Here is a 24022-nt window from a genome sequence, read left to right as displayed (position 1 = left end):
ATGTGTGTGGAGAGGTCTGTTTCTGGATTGCTCTTTTTTCCATTGGTCTGTTGTCTGCCATGTTCTGATTCCACTTTGCCTTAATTGTGTAGCTTGATCATGTGTCTTAACATTGAAAAAGCAAATCCTCACACCTTGCCTTCTACAAGAAAATGTTTTGACTCTTCTTGGTCATTTAGAGTCTCATATAAATGTTAGAATTAGGTTGTCAATTCCCATAGAAAAATCTGTTAGAATTTTGATTGGGACTGTGCTGAATCATCAACCAGACAGAACTGTTACGAGCACAATATTGCCTCCAGTACAGAGATGCTGAGACCAACTCGATCGGGGAGACCCTAACCCAGCGGCGCTAGAGGAATTAAAGACACACACACAGAAATATAGAGGTGTGAAGTGGGAAATCAGGGGTCTCACAGCCTTCAGAGCTGAGAGCCCCAAACAGAGATTTACCCACGTATTTATTAACAGCAAGCCAGTCATTAGCATTGATAGATATTAGATTAACTAAAAGTATACCTTATGGGAAACAAAGGGATGGGCTAAAATAAAGGGATGGGTTGGGCTAGTTATCTGCAGCAGGAACATGTCCTTAAGGCACAGATCACTCATGCTATTGTTTGTAGTTTAAGAATGCCTTTAAGCAGTTTTCCGCCCTGGGTGGGCCAGGTGTTCCTTGCCCTCATTCTGGTAAACCGACAACCTTCCAGCATGGGTGTTATGGCCATCATGAACATGTCACAGTGCTGCAGAGATATTGTTTATGGCCGGTTTTGGGGCCAGTTTATGGCCAGATTTTGGGGGGCCTGTTCCCAACACAGAGACATGGTCAGTCTCTTCATTTATTTAGTTCTCCAATAACGTTCAGGGTGTTAGTTTTCTCTGTAGAGGTTCTCTGTAGAGTACATCTTGGATTTGTTTCTAGGTACAGGAAACTTTTTAAAAATATATTTTATATAGACCAGGGTCTCACCACGTTGCTCAGGCTGGTCTTGAACTCCTGGCCTTGGCATCCCAAAGTGCTGGGATTACAGATGTGAGCTACTGCACCCAGCCAGGAAATGTATTTTCTATTGCTCTCCCACAACTCCCACCACATCTTCTCCATCTGCATGAAATCATATTCTCTGTATGGTATCTGTAAAGTCATATCTTATTCTGAGAAATGTCCATTTCTGCATCAATACTCATCGCATGTATTCTAAATATACTTTGTCTTGTTTGTCTTGTATATAGGTTATTGTAGTTACTTGACCTGTGCCGAAATGTTAAATGTGTGTAAGTTCATGTCCTTCATTCTGGCTTTTTATTCACTAATAGTCATCAGCATCCTTACTGTCAATACAAGAGATGCTCCTTCTCAATATTTTGATATGGTAGTACAAGGATTCCAAAGGAGGAACCTTCTTTTTTAGCAGCTGTGTTTTTTGTTTTGGTTGGCAATTCACTAAGGACTCATCTCATCATGTTATGAGGGAGACATTCTTGGAAGCATGGCTCCTTTTCCGACTCTTCTCAGCACACAGCTGTCACCCATGCTTTGCTGTGAGATGGGGTGCCCTACAGATGGATGGGGTTTACAGGCTTAAGGTTACTGATGTCTTTTCATAAGACATTATTGCCTTGTTTGTTTGTTCTTCAGAAAACAAATTCTAGGGAGCCGGGGTTAATCTGTTCCATAGTCTGAATGTGTTACTGAAACACCAGGGGTTTTGTCTGGGTCCCATTGCATGCTGCACAGCCAATCACTGCCGGGAGGAAGGGCTTTATTCAGGTGCTGCAGCCAAGGAGAATGGGAGATAAGTCTTGAATCCATCTCCCTGACCGGCCAAAATTGGAGGGTTATATAACAGTGGAAGGGATGTAGCTATGTTTGGGAAGGAGTTAGGGAGGGGTAAGAACGCAGCCATGATGAACGAGGGATCCAGTGTCTCCCTGTCTGGATGCAGTGATCTAGTGAATTTGAGAAAGGATTACCCTGTGGAGGGAGGCAACAGGAGGGAGCCTTCTCTCTGGAGCCCCTGGGCATGCTTTGAATTTGAGCCATATAAATCTATTACCTATTAAACTGAGAAGAGAACTAGGTACGCAAGAAGCCAAGTCACTGGGGCGGTGGGGACGATACTTCTCATTTGTAGCCTTTCAATTTGGTGCTCTGTCTGGCTGTTTTGAGAGCTAAACTGTAAGTTGAGACCCCATAGTCACCAGATGAGGCCTGAGGTTCCAGGACTGAAGGGACAGAGTCGGTTTCTGAAACTGACAATCTCTGTTTCTTTTACATGGGCTTCAAACATAGAAATGAAGTGGCTTGGCCTCACTCGCCAGGAGGGGAAATCTGGGCAGTTGGCTGGTGGGTTGACATTGTCCCTCACACCAGTCCTGTAAATTACTCAGGAAGGCCCAGGCCTGGAGAACTAAGACTTGGCTTTCACTGCTTAGCCTGGAAAGGAACTGAGATGGCCAAAGAGGGCTTTATAGAAACAGTGTCAGTGGCCCAGAAATCCTGGAAATCTCCCAAGCTCCAAGGATCAGTTGATCTCTGTGTGTGTCTCCTGCACATAGAGAGCTCCACTCAGTTCTGTGGTCTTTGGGCTGGTGGCCCCAGGGGCCCCTCCCTTGGCACTTGTCCAGGTAACTGAAAAACCACTCTGATATGAGGGTTGGCCCTGCATTAATTTTATCTACTGCATTAGAGGCAGTAGGGTTGTCTCATTGCCTGCCCTGCCAGCTCCTGTGAGTGGTAGAGCCAGCCCTTCAGTGTGGGGCTGGTGGGGGAGCAGTTCCCAGTGAAGGCATTTGAGTTGCATCCCAGCAGGATACCACTCGTTTGCCCTGCTGCACAGACTGGCCTCACTGGCCTCCTAGCACTTCCCGGCTCCATCTGGAGACTTCTAAGTAGATACCTAACCACACTTCCTCATTGTCTCTGTCCCTGCCTCCCTATCCACTGCCATCAAGGCTGGCACATCAGGAACAATAGTGCCCTCCGAGGAAGGGGTGAGGGAGAGATTTCACAATTTATCAAGACCTGAGTGCAGGCACAGGCCACCTGCTGTCTCCTCCCTTCCCATGGCATTCCTTGGATTAACCGTGCCTCTGAGGATGTGAGATGTCCCTGTCATGCCTCCGTGATTGAGTATGTGGGAAGGACTTCTGATGAATCCCTTCATTTCACAGATGGGAAAAACTGAGGCCAGTAGAAGGAGCAGAGTGGGAGCCTGATCCTGATCTTGCTGGAATCGGGCTCCCAGAAGGGAGTGGGGTCTGGAGGCTGGCGGTGGGGGGTGGTGGGGAGGGAGTCTCTGCAACAAAGCAAAATTCCTGGAGGGGATGAGGTGGGACACATGCAGGGTGGGAAGTCTTGGGAAAAGCCTACATTGCTGGGCTGTCCAGAATGGACAAGTACCGAGGGGCCCCTGGTGCCACCAGCCCAACGGATCACAGAACTGGGTGGAGCTATGTCCAGAAATGGAAACCTCAGCTAACAGGACCTGGGCTGAAGCAAAGGGGCCTGTGGGTGTTGACCAGGTGGCCTCAGGGAAGGTATCCCAGAAGAATGGTGTGTGTGAGGCTTATAGTGGACAGATGGGGGACAGGCCTTGAACCTACAAAATGAGGTTCAAGGCCTGCCAGGCTGTCTGTCTGTTGCAAACAGTGGCCCTGAGGAGAGTGAGGGTCACCCTGTAGGCCGGGGGTCTTTCTCAGCAGATGACATAGTACCACCAGAGTGATGGAGAACAGGCAGATGGACCCCACACCTGTCTGTCCTGTACCTCAGAGTTTGTGGCGTTACTTGGAAATGCATTTCCAAGGCTGACCCTGCAGGTCCTGGGGCAGTCAAACAGGGGTTTGAGGAAGAGACCCACCACCTGGTGGGCAGTGGAGCCTGTGCTTTGGAGGAAATGGAGCTGGCCATGGGATGGGGGTCAATGGGGGCAGGTGTGGCTTGAAGGTGGGATGTAGCAGCTGACCTCCCCAGCAGGCAGGCCGGTTATTAGTCCCAGGGGACTTAGGAACACTTTGGGCAGGGCAAGCGGATAGGTCCCTGACCCACAGACACCCCCTTTGTTCCTGGAGTCCAAGGACCCATGACCTTGTGGATGCCCCCAGGGGGCCACAGAACCTCAGACACTCACCTGCTTTTGGAGGACAGCTCTCACCAACCCTCCTGCCCTCACACAGCAGGTGCCCAGCCTGCCCTGCCCATCTCCTCGGCCCTCAGAGTCTAACTTGCTCATGTGAGGCCACAGGGCCCTTGCAGGGGGCATGGCATTGAGTGTATGACCATGCCCTGGATCCTGGGGTCAGTGTCCTCATCTGTGAAATGAGGGAGTTGCATTAGATGCTCATGGGGCACTGCGCCCCTGCTCTCCCTATCTGTGACACAGCCGAGAGCAAAGACCGCTGAGGCGGGGTGGGAGCCAGGGGGCCAGCCAGGGCTTGGTGGGGTGTGGGGCCCGAGGCAGAAAGAGTTTGTTGTGGGGGGAACTGGGGGTCCTGGGCAAAGCTCAGCCTCAGGCCTTGGGAGGCTGGGGCTGGGGGCACCCAGGAGCTGAGGGGATGTGATAAAGGCCAGGGCCGAGGAGGGTGCCTGTTACACCACAGGTACTCAGATCCAAGAAGGAAACCTCAAGCCTGAAAGCCAGGCTGAGAGGAGTGGGACCTTCCCGCTACAGCTGGAGCCATCCCATGCCCCCCATGTCTCCCCCAGCTGGGAGGTAGACGAGGGGCTCCACCGCCCTCTCACTGAGTTAACAATGAGACTGAGGCCCTCGGCTGGCAGGGAGTAAGCTGAGGAGGGCCTTGCTTTAGAGACCTTCATGGAAGGGGTGCCCCATCCCAAGATGGGTGCCACCCTTCCAGACTCCCTGGAGCTTCTATTCTCCTTCCTCTTCCTAATCTTCACCCCACCCAGCCCCATTGCTCTTCTGGAAGGAGAGCTCGCTGTCCAGTACTGCGCGGGATGACCGAGTGAACAGGGGACTGGAGACGAGATGTGGCTGGAGACTGAGAGAAGCAGAGGAGTCACACTCCACTCACCTCCACCTCCCAAAGTGCCGGGATCACAGGCTTGTGCCACTGCGCCCAAACATAACTGAAGGTTTTACAGACATGTCTGTGGCACCACAGAACACGAACGGTCCCAATGGAAACCCCACGCCCAATTTCCTCAGGGAACTGCTGTGGCGGAGGCTTGGTGGGTGTCTGAGGGGAGCAGAACCCAAGGCGTGGGGTTCGGGGGTGGACGGGGCGGTATGACCAAGAACTCTGCACCTCCCCCACCCACCCGCCTGAAAACTCTCCTGAAGTCACCTAACAAAGTGGATGGCAGTGAGTGGCTCTGGGTGGGATCTTTCTGTCCTCTGGCTACCCTCTGCCCAACAAGAAGGCTGGGGAAGGTGGGGCTGAGAGAAAGGTCTAGGCCTAGAAGACCTCGGACTCCTCCCAACTCCAACTCCTCCTCCCCCTCTTCCGTGGTCGGCTCACCTCCAGCACCCCACGTGGTGGCCCTAGGTACAACGGATTCCGGCGGGCAGAGCGCCTTAGATCCCGAGTCTGCAGCCCAGGGCAGAGTGCCAACTTCTCCTCATCCCTTCGTACGCCATAGAATGGAAAGACACTGGGGCTCCTCTGTTAGGAGCGTAGGAGGGACAGGCTGGACAAAAGGGCTCCCGAACAGCAGGTTCGGAGGAGAGCAACCCGGCCCTGACCCCCGCCCCCAACACCGTTCCCGACCTCGCTCCCCAATATCCCGGCTCTGCACCAATTCCTCCCGCAAGCCAAGGAACCCCGAGGCACTCCTAGTCTCTAAACCGTTTATTTCTCCCCACCAGAAGGTTGGGGTGGGCGGGCCTAGAACACAGCGTGCGGCGGGTTCCCGGGTGGAGCCAGCGCAGACAGCGTGGGTCCCTGCGGCTCTTAGGCGAAGGTGGAGTTGTTCCAGCCCACATTGGCCGCGTTCATGTCGTAATAGTTGATGTAGACCCTGCGGGGGGAGGAGGCCGGACTCAGCGGGTGGCTCAGTCCCGGGCCTGGCCGCGCGCCGCCGCCCCTCCCCCGCCCCTCCGCGACTCCGCGTACCTGTCCGGGCTGATGCGCAGGCGCTCGGCCAGCAGGCCGCACAGCAGCTTGCTGTAGGAGCGGTTCTGCGCGCCGCCGATCTTGCCGATGCTGTGCAGGCTGCAGAGCGCGCACGGCTCGCTGGAGCCGCCGAAGGCCATGAGCTGGTCCGGGACCACGTGCACCGCGATGTACTGCGAGGAAAGGGCGCGGTCAGCCCGCCCCAGCGACCTCGTCGGGCCCCGAACGTCCACTTCGGGCCCGAGCCACCGTCCTCCCCCCGCCCCGCCCCCCAGCTCCGTTCAGGAGTCGCCTCCCCAGCTCCCAGCGCGGAACCCCTCGTCCGGTGGGCACCCCCCTCTTCCTGTCCCCTCCCGGCAAACCTGGGGGGGCTTGCCGGTGGCCTGCGCCAGCTGCTGGGTGAGCTCGGAGAGGAACCCGTCCGGCACGGAGGCGCGGGGCACGTTGGTGTTTACGATGAACATCGGCATGATGGCAGAAGGACCAGGAGACCCGCGCAGAGGCACAGACGCACGCGCCGCGGCCGCCGCTGAGCTACGTGCCTGACTTCTCGGACACCACTGTGGTCCCGCCTTTTGTGACGCCACCGCCGGCGCCAGGCCCCGCCCCCGCGAGGCTGCGGCTCCGCCCCGAGTGGGGAAGTCACCGCCTGCCTCGGCTCGACCCCCGCAGGGCAGGACCCTGGGCGACTCCGCCCGTTCCTCCAGCAACCGCCGCTAAGCCCGGCGCACCGCTCCAACCTGTTCTCCACTTGGCGGCTAGAAATCGGCCTGTTCCGGCCTCGCCTCGGGTCTTTCTTAGTCCTTTCACTAAGTCACCGATGTTAGTCGCCAGGAGGCGCTGTGCCGGGGGTGGGGATGCGGCGGTGAACCCGGAAGATGGCCCCTTACCCTTCCAGAGATGAAGCCCAGTTCATTCCACTGCACGCACTGAGCCCCTGTACCTCCTGTCTTTGGGCCACATGTCCTCAAGGGCTCCAGTCCCGCATGCGTGAGCTTGTGTGTTTGAGATGGGGCGGGGTAGTCATCGCGGCAGGTGAGAGGGGAGCTGCCCCTGCGAATCACCATCCAGGGAACTTCCCTGAACCCCTGCTCTTTAAAGAGGATAGGATGCTGGGAGGCACCGAAGGGAAGGAGGCGAGGTCCAGAGCAGGTTCAGTGGTTCAAACGTGCTCAGCTCCCCTTCTCTGGGCCTCTGGGCAACTTCAGCTCCTCAGGGAAGCCACACCCTAGTCAGGTCCACCGTGTATGGCCTCTCATAGAGCCCTTGGTGAATTTCTTAAATGTCTTTTCCACTAATGGTAAACTCGGGGACCATCTAGCAGGTGCCAGGCATACAAGAGACATTGACTAATACTGCTGAATGAATGAATGAATGAATGGGTGAAAGAAGATAAGCCATGACATAGCAGGAAGAGGACAAGGCAGCAACTGGATCACAGGCCAGGTCCTCAGAGATTTCCAGGGAGGTCCTGTCCTTGGTCTCTGATAGGTGCAATCCATATACCAGTCTCAGTGAAGGCCATGTGATATAGGAAGGACACCCATGCCTGTGGGACCCTCGTGGCACCAGCCAGCCTCCAGCTGGGAGGCCCCATGGCCCATTTATACAAATAGCCTATGGGTATTGGTTCCTGCAGCTGGGCCCCAGACTCTTTCCCTCCTGGTGTCACACCTTCTCTTACCTGTGCCCAGGGCTCCCTAACTGATGGCACTCCATACCATGTCTCCAGCCAGGGGCACTCCCCTAAGTCCCAGGCGCTGACAGCAGCTGACTGAGTGTCCACTGCTCTGTAAAGTCCAAATGTATGACTTGTCCTCCTACACCTCATCACCTGCCAGTAAAATATGCTTCCTTTCACTATCCCTTTATTCCCACTTCTCTCCATTCCCTGAACTACCGCCTAGTCTACACTACCTGCATCCCCTTTGGCCTGGACCACTGTGACTTCCCTATGGTGGACTGCTGCTCCTCAAGGGAGGAGTCTGTTTCCAGCCCCAGGCAGCAGAGTTAGCCCCGACTCCCTGTGCCCTATGAAAGCTGAGCAGAATTACATAAGTCACTCCAGGCAGAAGACTGAAGAGCCAGGGCCTGGTTGACCTGTGCCCTGTGAACCTGAATGACAAGGTGCAGCCTCGCCAGCAAGCACATGAGCTGCCCCTGGAGGTGAGCCCCTGCCAATCTCAGGTTGTTACCATAACAAAGGGTTGCCTTACCTGGCCAGTGACGGAGCAGGAGCATTGCCATCTTGAACAAACACCACCATTCTAAGTTCCCCCTTAATTAAAAGCCGCCTAAATCCAGCCCGAAAATATCAGCCTAATAGCTAATGTCAGCATAACCAGAAACATTCCAACCCTAAGATAAACCCTTCTCTGACCAGAAACATGCCAACCCGGAGACAGCCTCCCTTCTGACCAGAGACATTCCATCCCCGCAATAAACTTTCCCTCACACAGAAACATTCAGAACCTATGATAAGAACCCCCTCCAAAACCCTTAAATATCCTTAGTTTGTAAGAGAGTGTGGCTCTGACCTAACTTGGCCAGAAGCCCCTCTCAAGTTTGTTTTCCAAAATAAACCTGTCCTTGTTGACTGTCGAGCCACCCTTGGTGTTTCTTTCCTCTTTAATTCTTATAGCCAGGACAGCCTCTGAGCCACTTGTCATCTCCTTGTACCCTCCCCAGCTGTTTCCAGTGGCAGTCAGCCTCATCCTTCTAGAAGGGTACCCAAAGAAGTGATATGATTTGCCTCTTACTAGCATGGACATTTGGCTCACTTTCCCCATCTGTAATTTGGGGATGACAATAGTGTTCACCTGACATAGAGGTGTTATGAGCACCAAGTGGCCTAAATGCCAATGACAGTCTCCTCTGATACTAGGGGTAGTACTGTCACAAGGCCCTGGGGTAACCCGGTCCCTGTGAGCCTCCGCCAACCCTCCCTGGTTCTCTGAGTTATGGCGCACTGTCCTTCAGTACCATGGCTCCTGGCTCCAGGGTTGGGGGTTGGTTCTGAAATCCAGTTTGCCCACATTTTCCCTCATCTGACTCCAACTCATCCTTCAGTTCTTGGCTCAGCCTTAGTTCCTTGGGAAAGCCCCCGGAGCACCTGGCTTGGTCCATTCCCACACGTGCCCAGTACCTGTCCTGTCCTTCGAGGCTATCTCCATATTTCTGAGTTAAGACTGCATGTCTAGGCGGTAAACTCCATCCCAGTGGGGACAGTCTCTTTTTGGGCATTGCTGTATGCATACCTCCTGACCCCTTACCTCCGTGGTAGGCAGATGACCCCCTGCCCACTAAAGAATAGCAGGGGGAGGACAAGCACTAATCCCTGGAACCTACAAGTATGCCATGTTACCTGGCAAAAAGCACTTCACAGATGCAATTAGGATTATGCATCTGTGCATAATAGGGAGATTAGCATGGAGCATCTGGGTACACCCAATCTAATCACATGAACTCTTAAAAGCAGATAATTTTCTCCAGCTAGAGTGCCAGATTCCAAGCAAGAGAAACACTCGATGTCCATTACCGGCTTTGAAGATGAAGGGGACCAGAGACCTCATGGTACAACCACAAGGAACTGAATTCTGCTCACAACCAGATTGAACTTGGAAGTGGATTTTTCCCTTGTCCCTTCAGATACCTTGACTTTGGCCATGCGAGTCCTTACACAGAAGACCTAGTCATGTCACGCCGGACTACTGACCCACAGAAACTGTGAGATAATAAATGCGTGTTGTTTGAAGCTGCTAAAAATTTGTGTTGATTTATTATAAGAGCAAAAAAAAAATAATACACCTTGGGACCCATAGGGACACAATAATTATCCGCTAACCATGGACAAATGCGCTAGGAGGCATTGGCAGGCATGGCTGCTGACTCCCTCTTCCTCCTCATGGCAGCATCCCAGATCTGTTCGTTAGAAGGTTCACTGCCCCAGAGTTCCTGCCACCCAGGTGTGGCCACCTCATCTCCCACCCCATCCCAGCACATCCAGCTGGAGGCACAACTCACCTCAGCTTCCTCACCCCTAGGCCTCTGAGGAAGCATTTTCATGGTCTGATTCCAAAGACAGCGGTGTGTGTGTGTGTGTGTGTGTCCATGTGTGTGCGCGTGCACGTGTGTCCACATGAGTGCTCACATGCACTATGAGCCTATGAAGCTAGAGTAGCTGAGAAGTCACCATCTAGCCCTGGAGTGTGCACCCAGACAGGAGCCTGGGCTCCCCGGGCAGAGTCATCTCTCTCCAGGTGTTTGATTCTCTCTAATCTTCAATGATTCCCTGCTACCTGCAGAATGAACCAGAGAATGGGGGCAGAACACGACCCCTGAAGAGCGCTGGCTCAAGCTGAGCTCCACTGCTAATCCACAGGGTCACTCTGGACCCCTCGGGTGGCCTAAAGGCCTCCTCAATAAAATGGAGATCAAGGAGATCAGGAAGCACACAGACTCTAGACTACACTTCCCATGAGCACTCTGAATGATCAGCACCAGCGCGCCACGGACCTCAGGTACCAGGCGAGGTCCCAGACGCAGCGTGTGCAGTGATCAAGGTCTGGGGTCCATGGTCACCAGGTCTACTCCTGGCCATTCCAGTTAGCTGTGTGACCCTGGACAAGCCACCGGCTTTTACTCAGTCTCTCATATGTACAACAGGGGTAATAAAAGTACTAATTTCATGGGGTCCTTTCCAGGATTAAAGGAGCTAACACTTGGAAGATACTCAGAATGGTCCTGATACATAGAAAGCCCTCCATAGATGTTATCCCTGAACATTGTTGTCACTGGGAGACTGTTTTGCAAGGTAAGGACCACCGCCATCCTCACAACCCTGGGCACAGCCTGAGGACAAGGACTGAGGCGGAAGCCTCTGGATGTAGTGGACCCTAGGTGGATATGTGTAAACTGAAGGGAAAAATGATTCAGCTGAGGCACAGAGTGATCTGGGTCCCAACAAGAGGGAACCAGAGACTCAGAGGGTCCAAGAAAGGAGAGGATGAGAACAAATACAAGAGAATGGACAACAGCCCTTTGGAGGCTGTGCAAGCCCAGATCCTTGTGAGCGCCGCCTGGATCCCGGCAGCCAGGCAGCCAACTTGAGCCTGCCAGATGGGCGGGGCCCTGTCCCCTGGCCCTGGGAAGCTGGGACATGTAGGTCCTGGTAATTAGCAAATGAGGGAGGGATTCGGGCTAGGAGAGGGGCTTGACCACATGCTCTGGGAGGTGGGGAGAGGCCACACTGGGTCTGGGGTCTGGGGAGGTGGGCTGGAGCTGGGGAGCATGGCTGTGACTCCTCTCCAGCTACATGGGCTAGACATCAATGCTCACACCTGGAACGCAGTCTCAGCAGAGGCAGGTCAGCTCCCACCCTGGACCACCCCCTAGAAACCCAGTCTGGCTCTCTCACCCCTCTCTGCACTGCCCTTCCTTGTCTTCAAGGTCCTGTCCTGAGACCCTGTCTCCTCTCCCTAACTGAGGGGCTCCCTGCGTAACAAGGGACTTGCAACCCCCACCCCGCCCTCCCAGAGTGGCCAGAGCCAATTCCGGCTGGGTGGGTGGTGAGTGAGAGGGCAGGGCTCAGGCTGGGGACCGGGGCACCATGTGTGTCCGAGGCAGGCCGGGACCTGGGTGTCACCTGATGCCTGCTCTGCTCGTGGCACGTACCCCAGGATCTCAGGGGTGCTTGTCAATGGATTCTTACTCATGACTCCACGTTGGAGGTCTGCAGCCAGGGCGGCCAGGGAAGCCATTTGGAGCACAAAGGTAAGCTGGGGAGCAGGTCAACAGAGGCAGGATCAGGGTGGATGGACACAGAGGGGCAGAGTGACCACACACAGGGCTCCTGGGAGGGCTGCCCCTGCCTCCTGAAGACTCCACAGTGACTGGACACGGTAGCTTCATTCCCATCCTGCAACGCTGCTGCCTCCCAGTGGCTCCAGCTTTTTTTTTTTTTTTTTTCTTTTTTTGGTAGAAACAAGGCCTCGCTCTGTGGCCCAGGCTGGAGTGCACTGGTGCAATCATAGCTCACTGTAATCTCCAACTCTTGGGCTCCAGAGATCCTCCCACCTCAGCCTCCCAAGTAGCTGGGACTACAGGCACATGCCACCAAGGCTCTAGCTTTTAAAAGGCCCCCAGCTGAGCCTATCCTTAGGAAGCCAGCTCAGAGTCACCTTCTCCCTGAGACCTCTACTGACACCCTGACCCAGAGATTTCTCTCTCCCCAGAGAACCCACAGCCCCACCACTTCTCTTTAACAGTCACTGTTTCCTGACAAAAGCCAAATTCTTTCTTATACAACAATAGTCCACTGATTTTCTTTATTTAGGCACCAAAGTAAAATAATGAAGAAAAAATGGCTTTTTTTAAAGCAAATGGTACTGGTACGACCAGATAGCCATTTCAAAAAAAAAGAAAGAAAAGAAAAAAGGGCCAGTCATGGTGACTCATTCCTGTAATCCCAGCACTTTGGCAAACGAACGGCTTGAGTCCATGAGTTCAGGAACAGTCTGAACAACATGGCAAAAGCCTGTCTCTACAAAAAAACAAAGAAAAACAATAAAACAAAACAAAACAAAAATTAGCCAGGCTAGCCGGGCGCGGTGGCGGGCGCCTGCAGTCCCAGCTACTCGGGAGGCTGAGGCAAGAGAATGGCGTGAACCCGGGAGGCAGAGGTTGCAGTGAGCCGAGATAGTGCCACTGCAGTCCTGCCTGGGCGAAAGAGCAAGACTCCATCTCAAAAAAAAAAAAAAAAAAATTAGCCAGGCATGGTGGCACGCATCTGTAGTCCCAGCTACTTAGGAGGCTGAGGTGGGAGGATTGCTTGAGTCTGGAAGGTAGAGGTTGCAGTGAGCTGAGATCACGTCACTTGCACTCCAGTCTAGGCAACACACAGTGAGACCCTGTTCCCCCCACCCACCCAAAAAAAAGGAACCTCAGCCCCTCACACCATACCCAAAAATTAACTTGAAATTCATCATCAGCAACATAAGTGTAAAAGCTAAAACTATCCAACATTTGGAAGAAAATCTTTGCAACATTGGGATAGGCAAAGATATCTTATGGCACAAAAAGCATGAATCACAAAAACCAAAAACTGATAAATCAAACTTTACCAAAATAAAAATTTCTGTTCGGCCGGGCCAGGTGGCTCACGCCTGTAATCCCAGCACTTTGGGAGGCCGAGGCGAGCAGGTCACGAGGTCAGGAGATCAAGACCATCCTGGCCAACATGGTGAAACCCCGTCTCTACTAAAAATACAAAAAAATGAGCAGAGCATGGCAGCACGTGCCTGTAGTCCCAGCTACTCAGGAGGTTGAGGCAGGAGAATTGCTTAAACCCAGGAGGCAGGGCTGCAGTGAGCCGAGATCGCGCCACTGCACTCCAGCCTGGGTGACAGAGCGAGATTCCATCTCCAAAAAAAAAAAAAAAAAAAAAATTCTGCTCTTAGGTAGCATTAAGAAAATAAAAAAGGCAAGCTACGGACTGCAGGAAAATATTTACAATACTATATATTTAACAAAGTACTAGCTTCCAGAATGTATAAAAAATGCCCACATTTAAAAAATAATGACAACCAACCTGATAAAAATAGCAGATAAGGGCTGGGTGCGGTGGCTCATGCCTGTAATCCCAGCACTTTGGGAAGCCAAGGTGGGTGGATCACTTGATGTCAGGAGTTTGAAACTTGCCTGGCCAACATGGCAAAATCCCATCTCTACCAAAAATACAAAAATTAGCAGGGCATGGTGGCTCACGCCTGTGGTCCCACCTACTTGGGGGGCTGAGGTGGGAGGATCGCTTGAGTCCAGGAGGCAGAGGTTGCAATGAGCTGAGTTCATTCCACTGCCCTCCAGCCTGGGCGACAGAGAACCCTGTCTCAACAACAACAACAAAAAAAAGTAGACAAAATATTTGAACAAATTATTCATAAAAGAAAACCCACAAATGGCCATACTGAGCACATGAAAAGATGTCAAACATTATTAGTCATTAGGGAAATACCACAATTAAATGACAAGATACCACTACACACTCACTAGAATGGCTAAATTGAAGAGACTGACAATACCAAGTGCTGATGAGGATCTGGAGTATCCAGAACTCATACATTATTAATGAGAATGTGAAACAATATAATCAACCACTTTGGAAAACAATTTTTATACAGTTAAATATACATTTATTATTAAGCCCAGCAATTCATTTACCCAAAAAGCTAGACTGACTGTTTATGTCCTCCCCAGGTTCATACCTTGAAACCTAATCCCTCATATGATGGTACTTGGAGGTAGGGCCTTTGGGCCTCCTCGGAGGTGATTAGGTCATGAGGGCAGAGCCTGCATGAATGGGATTGGTGCCCTTATAAAAGAGACCCCAGAGAGCTCCCTTGCCCCTTCTGCCATGTCTAGGAGAACACAGCAAGAAGACCGCCATCTATGAATCAAGACATGGGCCCTCAACAGACACTGAATCCACTGGCACCTTGATCTTGGACTTCCCAGCCTCCAGAACCATGAAAAATAAATTTCTGTTGTTTATAAGCCACCCAGGCTGTGGTTCTTAGTTATAGCAGCCCGACGGACTAAGACACAAAAGAAATAAAAACATATGTTTAGACAATTATTATTGTAGGAACATTCACAGCAGTTTTATTCATGATGGCCAAGAATTAGAAACAGCCAAAATGTTCACCAACAGGTAGATGGATAAATAAATCATGGTCTAACCACAGAGGGGAATACTACTCAGCAATACAAAGGAGTCTCTCCTAATACGTGCAACAACATTCATGAATCCCAAAAACTTTATCTGGAGCCAAGCCAGACACAAATGTGTACATACAGTACGGAATGACTTCAGATTCTGAAAAAAGGCAAATCTGACCAATTGAGGCAGAAAGCAGGTCAGTGGTTCCCCAGGTCTGGGACTGGGGTGGGTTACTGATAGCAAATGGGCATGTGGGTGCCTTGGGGTAGGGTAAAGGTTCCATCTTGATCACGGTGGTGTTTCCCAAGTGTATACACTCACCAAAACTATACTTAGAACTCAAAACTCGCCAAATATATACTTAAAATGGATGCAGTTGGTTATGTATAAATTATACCTCAATAAAGTTGATTAAAAACATCAATTCCTCAGAAAATTCTTTTCTGACCACTCCCCTCTCAGACGAGGTCGGGCCTCCTGGTATGCATACCCATACCCACTACAACCTGTATTTATTTTTTTTGAAACATGGTCTCTTTCTGTTGTCCAGGCTGGAGTGCAGTGGCTCAATTAGGACTCACTGCAGCCTCGACCTCCCAGGCTCAAGTGATCCTCCCATTTCAGCCTCCTGAGTAGCTGGGACCACAGGCATGTACCACCACACCCAGCTAATTTTTTTTTTTTTTTTTTTTGGTAGAAACAGGATCTTACTATGTGGCCCAGGCTGGTCTCAAACTTCTGGTCTCAAAGCAATCTTCCCATCTTGGCCTCCCAAAGTGCTGGGATTACAGGCATCAGCCACCTCACCTGGCCAACCTGTATTTTTCTTTCACTGCATTTCCTGAGTCTGTAATTATTATTATTATGTTTTAAAGAGATGAAGTCTCCCTCTGTCACCCAGTCTGGCATGCAGTGGTGTGATTGTAGCTTACTGCTACCTTGAACTCTTGGACTCAAGTGATCCTGCTGCCTCAGCCTCCTGAGTAGCTAGAGCTGTTAGCACATACCACCATGCCCAGCTAATGTTTAAAATTTTTTGTAGAGATAGGGGGTCTCACTATGTTACCTAGGCTGGTTTCAAACTCTGGCCTCAATTGATCCTCCCACCTTGGCCTCCCAAAGTGCTGGGATTACAGTCATGAGCTGCCACAACCAGCCTGTAATTATGTTGTTACTGATTTTCTGTCAGTTAATTACCTTTAGCCTGGAATACCACGCTCACCATTGATTGCTAAGCACCTGGAGCCATGTCTGCACACAAAGGGTGCTCAATAAACACTCCTTAAATGAGGAATGCAGGAGGGAGTGAGGACCAGGGCCCTGGCAGGAAGCAGAGGACAGGACAGTAGCTGGCTTTGGCTCTGGCCACCCCTTTGGGACTAGAGTTCTGTTGACTGGATAACCTCCAGGCTCCTCCACGTGGGGCCCTGGGCCCGCCTGGGGAAGTTGAGTCTGTGTAATTCCTTGGAGATCTCTTGGAAGGTCTTGCCTTTGGTCTCAGGAAGGAACAGGCCAGTGTAGATGGCCCCACAGACACAGACACCAAGGAAAGGGACATAGAGGAAGTGGGACAAGGCCTCCTGCGGATTAAAAAAGACCCCAAGACCTGGTGTGTCTCCATCAACCCCTAAACAGAAGGCCCATGACAGGTCGTGAGGAGGCATTTGCCCCCCTCTTTGCTCCCCTAAGACCCCTCCCTTTCAGTCTCAGTCTCCCTGGATGGAAGCCTCCCCCTGGGGTTCTCAGGATGACAGGGACACAGCCTAAGGCAGGGCCCCCAGCGGGAGGGGCGGGCCTACCATGATAAAGGGAAATCCCAGGCCGACCAGGATGAGCATGATCCACATGAGCGCCCCGCAGACCATGCAGGCAGCAGGCCTGGCCATCTGGTCAAACAGCTCTGTGGCCAGGATCCCCGTCACTCCGGCTAGAAGGAGGGGCAGGGACAGGGGGCTGCTGGCCAGGGTTCCCTGCCTGCCTCTCCCCGACCCCAGCCCAGACATGGGAGTGGGAGCCCAGGCCCAGTCTGTATGGGGGGCCCCTCAGTGCTCTCCTCCTGCCATTCCCTCCCAGAAGCCCCGGCATGAGGTGGTCTCTGAGGGCCTGCAGGGGACATTGCATTCACACCCACCCACTGTGCACCCAGGCACCCATCACTCCTTCTATGTGATGATGGATGCCCAGAGCCCCTTGGGCCCACTCACCAGGGCCAATGCCAAAGCTGAGGATGAAGGCAAAGATGCAGGCCATGGCCAGGTAGAGTGTCCAGGGGAAGGAGCTCTGCCGTGGACGGGGCGGGGGTGAGGTGGAAGTCAGCCCGGCCTGGACCCCCCAGCCCTCATCCACCCCAGCTACCTGCAGGCACAGGGCCACAGTGAAGATGCTCCCCCAGCAGGTCATCAGGCTGTACCCACCGATGAGCAGCACGCGCCGACCCACCCTCTCGATTACCACACACTGCAAAGGCAGAAAGCACAGACCCACACACCCAGCCATGGTCCCTGAGGTCTGGGGCAGGCAATGGGAAGGGGTCTCCTGAGAAAGCTGGTGGTGGAGGTGAGGGTAGTTTATTGCTTCAGTGTGACTTTATTAATTTCCCAAAGGAACTTGGTCAATCAATCACCCAACTTCAGCCAGTTTCCGCATCTCAAAATGGTGCTGGAAGTGACCCGCAAACCGTAGATGCTCAATAGATGCTCTCTAACTCACTGCATTGATTGATTGATTGAGACAGGGTCTTACTGGTCTCACTGAGCTGAGACAGGGTCTCACTGGTCCAGCCCACGCTGGAGTGCAGTGGCACAATCTCGGTTTACTGCAGTCTCAACCTCCTAGGCTCAAGTGATCCTCCCACCTCAGCCTCGCCAGTAGCTAGCACTACAGGCGAAGACCACCACGCCTGGCTAATTTTTGTATTTTTTGTAGAGACGGGGTTTCACCATGTTGCCCAGGCTGGTCTCCAACTCCTGATCCCACCTCAGCACTATTGCCTGGGCTGGAGTGCAATGGCACCATCTCGGCTCACTGCAACCTCCACCTACTGGGTTCATGCGATTCTCCTGCCTCAGCCTCCCAAGTACCTGGGATTACAGGCGCCCGCCACCACGCCGGGATAATTTTTTGTATTTTTTAGTAGAGACGGGGGTTTCACTGTGTTGGCCAGGCTGGTCTCGAACTCCTGACCTTGTGATCCACCCACCTCGGCCTCCCAAAGTGCTGGGCTTACAGGCATGAGCCACCGCACCTGGCCCCTCACTGCATTTTAACACCATAAGCTGGAGTGTAAACTGGTTTAATGCAGAGGACCTGGGGGTCCCTCCCCACAGGGCTGGTGGAGGAAGGGCACCCTCCAGACTCACACTAACAACCGCCGTGAGCAGCTCGCAGCTCCCAGTCCCGATGATCGCGTACTGGATCTTCGCTTCCGGCACTCCTGCCTTCCGGAACACGGAGGAGGCGTAGGCGTACACCTGGGAGAGGGTGGCTTTCAGGCCTGGGCTCCCTTCCACCTCCCATGGCTCCCAGCGGCCTGCAACACCAAGCCCCCGGGGCCCAGGGTGTGCGGCGGGGCAGGGGTCTCACCGAGTCATTCCCGCAGAGCTCCATGGCACTGCCCAGAACCACGAGGCTTGTCACCTGTCTCCTCAGGGCCCGATGCTGGAACAGCTCCCATGGGCGCCGGGCACGGCAGCCCTGGCAGGCAGCGCGCTCCTCCTCCAGCTCCTCCAGCTCCCCTGCCAAGTCCCCGGAGCCCCGGAGCCGCCGTAGTGCTGAGCCAGGGAGGAGGGTACTGAGCTCCCCGTCCCCAAGCCCCTCTTTGGTCCCCCTACAGGGACGCCCCCCTCCATCCCACCATTCCTTTCCTTCTTGGCTCACTCTCTGTCTCTGAGTCTGTCTGTGTGTGTGTGTGTCTCTCTCTCTGCCTCTGTCTCTCTCAATCTCTCTGTCTCTGTGTGTGTCTCTGTGTGTGTGTGTGTTTCTCTCTCTGCCTCTCAATCTCTCTGTCTCTGTGTCTGTGTGTGTGTGTGTGTTTCTCTCTCTCTCTGCCTCTGTCTCTCTCAATCTCTCTGTCTCTGTGTCTGTGTGTGTGTGTTTCTCTCTCTCTCTGCCTGTCTTTCTCAATCTCTCTGTCTCTGTGTGTGTCTCTGTGTGTGTGTGTGTTTCTCTCTCTGCCTCTCAATCTCTCTGTCTCTGTGTCTGTGTGTGTGTTTCTCTCTCTCTCTGCCTCTGTCTCTCTCAATCTCTCTGTCTCTGTGTGTGTGTGTGTGTGTGTGTTTCTCTCTCTCTCTGCCTCTGTCTCTCTCAATCTCTCTGTCTCTGTGTCTGTGTGTGTGTGTGTTTCTCTCTCTCTGCCTCTGTCTCTCTCAATCTCTCTGTCTCTGTGTCTGTGTGTGTGTGTGTTTCTCTCTCTCTCTGCCTCTGTCTCTCTCAATCTCTCTGTCTCTGTGTCTGTCTGTGTGTGTGTGTGTTTCTCTCTCTCTGCCTCTGTCTCTCTCAATCTCTCTGTCTCTGTTTGCCTCCCTGGTCAGATGGAGATGATCTTCCTTGCCCTGACATTTCTCAGGGCTGTTGCGGTGTTGCCACCATGGATGAAAAAAGGCTTTAGAAAGAAACGCAGGGTTCTGCGGACATATCAGACAGGACATGACTATTGCAGCACATTATCAAACCCAATTCTTCACCCCTCCCTGCACCCACACTGCTTGCTGTGTGATTTTGCAGTTCCTCCCACTAAAGGGGCAAGTACTGCCTACATCCCTGCTCCTGGCTCTGGGCTCGGCCAATAGGATGAGGCTGCAGTGAGGGCGTACCATGTTCCAGCCTAAGCCTTAAGAGGCCTTGCTCACTTCTACTTGCTCTTCTGCCTTCATGAGAACATTCCAGGCTAGCCAGGAGGATGACAAGACATGGACAGCCAAAGGGGCCCAGCTAAGCCACCCTCACTGGGACTATTCTAGATCAGCCAGCCAATGCCCAGCTGAGCTGCAGTTGCAGGAATGACCAAGATCAGCAGAGCCATCAGCCAGAACCATCCTAGATCAGCCCAGCCCAGAGGACTTAGAGGCTTAGGCTAAATAATTGCTTTTTTTGTTTCTTTACCACCGAGATGTTATGATCATCTATTAGTCAGCAATAGAAAGCTGATCAATAAATTGGCACCAGGAGTTGGTGCTACCGTAACAAAGACCTGTGAAATATGGTATCAGTTCCAAGACGAGGCAGAGGACGGCGATGAGGCTGGAGAAATGAAAAGCTATGTTATATAGTGCAGTAACACGGAAGAAAGAAAATGGGCTCAGTGAACTTATGGACTTGAGCAAAGAAAACTCCAAATGTTGAAAGCATGAACTGGTTGCTGTTAGATGCATATTCTAAGCTTGCTGTAAGACATGAAGAATTAGCTCAGAAAATAACTGGCCAGTTTGCAAGCAGAATTCAGAGGCAACAAAATTTAATTAAACGTAGCATATTTCAGAAACACTGGGTTAGTTGAAAACAACAACAAAAAATGTTTTCTCGCCTCTATCCTCTCCAGCTAGCAAAAGAATCCCAAATTAAGTAACAGCCTGTGAGCAAAGATCAAATCCAGAGCACTGCCAGGAAGCCATGGACTCATAGTAAAGATCAAATCAAGGGTATAGCTTAAAGCAGTGCCTCACAGACCCTCACAACTAGAAAAGGGGGCATTTAGGAGGCTTGAGGGCGTTGATTCACGGTAGCCTGACATACCCTAAATACCAGCAATTAGGCCTTGGGAGAGAAGCCTGTCTCAAAAATAATTGTGAGCGTGGTTTGTTGACACATGAAAAAACCTCGAATACATAGAAAATTCACATCATTTTTGAGAAAGTTGTATTGGCAAAAGCTCTGCCAGTTTGGACAAAAAAAAGACCAGGACAATTTGAAATATAAAGACTTCTGTGCCCCAACTTTGTTTTCTTTTCTTTTCTTTTTTTTTTTTTTTTTTTTGAGATGGAGTCTCACTCTGTCACCAGGCTGGAGTGCAGTGTGCACTGGCACAATCTTGGCTCACTGCAACCTCCGCCTCTCGGGTTCAAGCAATTCTCCTGCCACTGCAACCTCCGCCTCTCGGGTTCAAGCAATTCTCCTGCCTCAGCCTCCCTAGTAGCTGGGACTACAGGTACGTGCCACCATACCCAGCTAATTTTTGTATTGTTAGTAGAGATGGGGTTTCACCATGTTGGCCAGGCTGGTCTTGATGTCTTGACCTCGTGATCTGCCCGCCTCAGCCTCCCTGGGATTACAGGCGTGAGCTGGCGCCCAGCCTGCCCCAACTCTCTATAGGCAGGAAGGAGGCTGAGAAATTTGCTCAACCATCAAAAGCAGCACATTGTGCAACGCCCTCTTCAGAAGGAATCAAGGAAGGTGAAAGAAAAGGAAAAACATCTCAGAGGGTAGACCCAAGAAGCATGGAGAGCCACGCATAGTGGTGTGTGCCTAGAGTCCCAGCTACTCAGGAGGCTGAGACAGGAGGATCGCCTGGGCCCAGGAGCTCTGGGTTGTAGTACGCTAGGCAGATCAGGTGTCTGCACTAAGTTCAGCATCAATATAGTGACATCCCAGGAGCAGGGACCACCAGGCTGCCTAAGGAGGAATGCACTGGCCCAGGTTGGAAATGGGACAGTTCAAAACTCCCATGCTAGCCAGATACAATGGCTCATGCCTATAATCCACGCACTTTGGGAGGCCAAGGGGGGAGGATCATTTGATCTCAGGAGTTTGAGACCTGCCCAGGCAAAGAGGTGAAACTCCATCTTTACAAAAAATACAATAATAAAAAAAAATTAGCCAAGCGTGGTGGCACGGGCCAGTAGTCCCAGCTACTCAGGAGGCTGAGGTGGGAGAATTGATTGGGCCTGGGAGGTGGAGGTTGCAGTGAGCTGAGATCACACCACTCCAGCCTGGGCGACAGAGTGAGACCCTGTCCCAAACAAAACCAAAAAAACAAGAACAAAAAAGAAGAAAACTTCCGTGCTGATCAACAATGGCGTCATGCCTATGAACAGCCACAGCACTCCAGCCTGGACAAGCGAGAACCTGTCTCTAAAAGATAAAAAAAATAAAAAAAATAAAAGAACCATGGCCTGGGGTGCCCTTCATAGGGGGTAGGGGACAGAGCTGGAACTTGAACAAAGAATACTCCCTACCCCCAAGGCAGGGGACATGGCCATATTTTCCTAGGGGCGCTTCAGAATTGTTATAGATTAGTGACTGCACTGTGCCTGCCTTGCTTCCTCGTTTTTGAAATGAGAGCATTAATTTTGGTTACCTCATCTTACTTTTTACCATTGCATGCTGAGTGTGGGAAGGGAAGAAGACTCATCTTTCTAGATCCTAGGTTTCTGGATCAAGAAAAGGCCCATATAGACTTAATGTGGCGTAAGATCTGGGACTTCAAGCCCGATGCCATGATTGGATGAGACTTTGGGGGATCCTGGGATGGGACTGAACACATTTTGCACAGAGGAGAGACATAAGTAATAATTGCGGCCATGGTGACAGAGAAGAGTACACTAATGGGCCCCGGTCTTCACCCCTCCTTAAATCCACAGCCCTTGCGATGGGAGAGGATATGCCATCAATTTTCCCATCCCTTGACTTGGGATTTGGCAGTATGACTGACTCGCTTTGGCCAATGGAATGTTAATGGCACGAGGGAACCAAAGGTTTGGAAAGCGCTTATGCAACTGGATTTGCTTTCTTGTTTCTCTGCCATCACCATGCTATTCCTAGGCTAACTCGTTGGTACCAAAAGTGAGAGGACAGAAAGTGCAGCAAAGCTGAATGGCTCCAGTCCAGACCAGCCTAGACCGGCCAACCAGCAGCTGAACCTCACCACTGCCCCCCTCCCCCGCCCCACACTGTGAACTAGCCCAGCTGAGATCAGCAGAGCTGTGCAGCCAGCCAGGCAAGTACATGAATAAAAGAAGCAGTAAATAATTGTTGCTTTAAAGCAGAAATGTTGCGATTGTTCCTTAGGCATTCTTACTGTAGCCAAAGTTAACTGATATAAGATGACCATCACCCAGTTGGCACTGGGTAGGTGAGGTCTTGCACAGGTGTTTCACCGTGTGTGTGCGCGTGTGTTTCTCCGCACCGCTCTGGAGTTCTTGAGTAACAGTGGCTAGGTCTGATCCATTCTGCTGCCTGGCAGTTAGGACAACCACTTGATAGAGTTCTGATTGAAGGCAGGTATAGGCAGATCATGAAATTGAGGCACAAAGAGAGGGATAGCTTTTCCTTGATAAATGAAACCTATGAAATGGGGACCCGTATACTCTGGGGAGATGCATCCCTTGGTCAAGGGCAGTCTGGGAGCCCAAGGACAGAGACTCACCTGCCAGGCAGGCCTCGGTGTCTCCACAGTCAATGAGGAGGTAGCGCGGGCTTTCAGGGAGCAGAGGCAGGGAGGCGAGCTGGAGCGCCCCGGGCACCAGGCAGCTGGCCAGCAGCAGGGGCCAGGCCTGAGGGCCACCTAGGAGCTCCCTAAGGAGGCAGAGGAGAGGCCAGGCCAGATGCCTCTTTGCCAGAGTCCTACCACCCTGCTCTCCTGCCCACCTACACACCTCCCTGCAGGGAGTCTGCAATTGCCCCGTGCCTCTTCCTATCCAAGTCTGGGTCTGAACATCAAGATCCCTCCCACCCAGGTTGGGACCAAGAGAGGACAGGGCCACTGCCCCACCTCATCCCTAGCAACTCCTCTTCCCAAGGGTCCAGGCTCTGCCTTCTCCTCTTTTTTCTGGAATGACTGGAACACGTTTGTCTTTGAAAGCCCAAATCTTCACCCTCTCCTCTGTGAAGACCTGTTCTTTGCTCCCTGACCTGGAGAGGATGGGAAAAGGTGATTCACATTGCAGTGTGTTGACTGATACCCATTTCGTGAATTGGCAGCAGAGATGTGGATAGAGGATTCGATGCCTTCATGCAAAGCAATAATGCTTTAATCTACTAGTGGGTAGGGGAGACATTTAGGTGAAGAAACGCTTTTACTGGTATCTCCGAAATACTCAATGCATGTGGGGGAGGGGTGCTTACCTGAGTCCGACCACCTGTCCCATCACGATCCCCAGAGCCGTAAAGATGGCTGAGCTCATGGCCACAGCTCCTCGGAGCTCCTTAGGGGCGCTCTCCCCCAGGTACATGGGCTGGATGTTCATGCTCACACCTGGACGTGTGCACAGCAGAGGCACGTCAGCCACCAGC

The 24022-nt window shown here is 52.2% G+C and overlaps 2 protein-coding genes, 1 long non-coding RNA gene and 1 pseudogene across 8 annotated transcripts in view, besides 3 other annotated features; 2 read left to right on the top strand and 2 right to left on the bottom strand.

The window, feature by feature from the left end:
* Nucleotides 1-2095: 2095 nt before the first annotated feature.
* MIF-AS1 (MIF antisense RNA 1) lies at nucleotides 2096-7316 on the top strand. Its single transcript, NR_038911.1, has 3 exons — nucleotides 2096-2182; nucleotides 4916-5197; nucleotides 5494-7316. It is a non-coding gene; the product is annotated as an MIF antisense RNA 1 (long non-coding RNA).
* Nucleotides 5353-6160: an enhancer, noted in NCBI's record as "H3K27ac-H3K4me1 hESC enhancer chr22:24237053-24237860 (GRCh37/hg19 assembly coordinates)". NCBI's record gives its function as "activates a minimal SCP1, AML or CMV promoter by ChIP-STARR-seq in naive and primed H9 embryonic stem cells {active_cell/tissue: H9 hESC(naive and primed)}" and the evidence as "EXISTENCE:reporter gene assay evidence [ECO:0000049][PMID:30033119]".
* Nucleotides 5803-6643, bottom strand: MIF (macrophage migration inhibitory factor). The gene is made up of 3 exons (NM_002415.2): nucleotides 6444-6643; nucleotides 6082-6254; nucleotides 5803-5986 (listed from the first exon to the last, which is right to left on the bottom strand). The coding sequence occupies exons 1-3, from the start codon at nucleotides 6549-6551 to the stop codon at nucleotides 5920-5922; spliced, it is 348 nt and encodes a 115-aa protein (NP_002406.1). The 5' UTR covers nucleotides 6552-6643; the 3' UTR covers nucleotides 5803-5919.
* Nucleotides 6161-6968: an enhancer, noted in NCBI's record as "H3K27ac hESC enhancer chr22:24236245-24237052 (GRCh37/hg19 assembly coordinates)". NCBI's record gives its function as "activates a minimal SCP1, AML or CMV promoter by ChIP-STARR-seq in naive H9 embryonic stem cells {active_cell/tissue: H9 hESC(naive)}" and the evidence as "EXISTENCE:reporter gene assay evidence [ECO:0000049][PMID:30033119]".
* Nucleotides 12370-12664: an enhancer, noted in NCBI's record as "tiled region #10281; HepG2 Activating DNase matched - State 5:Enh, and K562 Activating DNase unmatched - State 5:Enh". NCBI's record gives its function as "activates a minimal TATA promoter and a strong SV40 promoter by Sharpr-MPRA in HepG2 cells, with weaker activation in K562 cells {active_cell/tissue: HepG2 | K562}" and the evidence as "EXISTENCE:reporter gene assay evidence [ECO:0000049][PMID:27701403]".
* Nucleotides 14714-24022, bottom strand: part of SLC2A11 (solute carrier family 2 member 11) — a 29379-nt gene continuing 20070 nt past the window's right edge. For 3 of the 6 annotated variants that reach the window (NM_030807.5, NM_001024938.4, NM_001024939.4), the window contains 8 exons: nucleotides 23855-23984; nucleotides 23157-23305; nucleotides 18380-18567; nucleotides 18157-18267; nucleotides 17153-17254; nucleotides 17002-17077; nucleotides 16597-16724; nucleotides 14714-16377 (listed from right to left, as the gene is read on the bottom strand). In NM_030807.5, the coding sequence (NP_110434.3) occupies nucleotides 16177-16377; nucleotides 16597-16724; nucleotides 17002-17077; nucleotides 17153-17254; nucleotides 18157-18267; nucleotides 18380-18567; nucleotides 23157-23305; nucleotides 23855-23984 (1085 nt within the window). In that variant the 3' untranslated portion in view covers nucleotides 14714-16176. Of the gene's footprint in view, nucleotides 16404-16596; nucleotides 16725-17001; nucleotides 17255-18073; nucleotides 18268-18379; nucleotides 18568-23156; nucleotides 23306-23854; nucleotides 23985-24022 lie in introns of those variants that run through there. The other 3 variants (NR_104247.2, NM_001282864.2, NR_104248.2) reach the window with 3 other exon arrangements.
* RN7SL268P (RNA, 7SL, cytoplasmic 268, pseudogene) lies at nucleotides 21236-21533 on the top strand (annotated as a pseudogene).

The sequence above is a fragment of the Homo sapiens genome, chromosome 22, assembly GCF_000001405.40.
Source record: "Homo sapiens chromosome 22, GRCh38.p14 Primary Assembly".
NCBI classification, from domain to species: domain Eukaryota; kingdom Metazoa; phylum Chordata; class Mammalia; order Primates; family Hominidae; genus Homo; species Homo sapiens.
Note: the sequence above shows the minus strand (reverse complement) of the source record. Positions and strands in the feature narration are given on the sequence as shown.

Bases quoted from the DNA above. Each gene is read 5' to 3' on its own strand.
- MIF (NM_002415.2), bottom strand. From the start codon at position 6,551: ATGCCGATGTTCATCGTAAACACCAACGTGCCCCGCGCCTCCGTGCCG. The intron at 6,255-6,443 runs GTTTGCCGGGAG...CTTTCCTCGCAG, and splicing joins CCACCGGCAAGCCCCCCCAG to TACATCGCGGTGCACGTGGT. The intron at 5,987-6,081 runs GTACGCGGAGTC...CTCCCCCCGCAG, and splicing joins CTGCGCATCAGCCCGGACAG to GGTCTACATCAACTATTACG.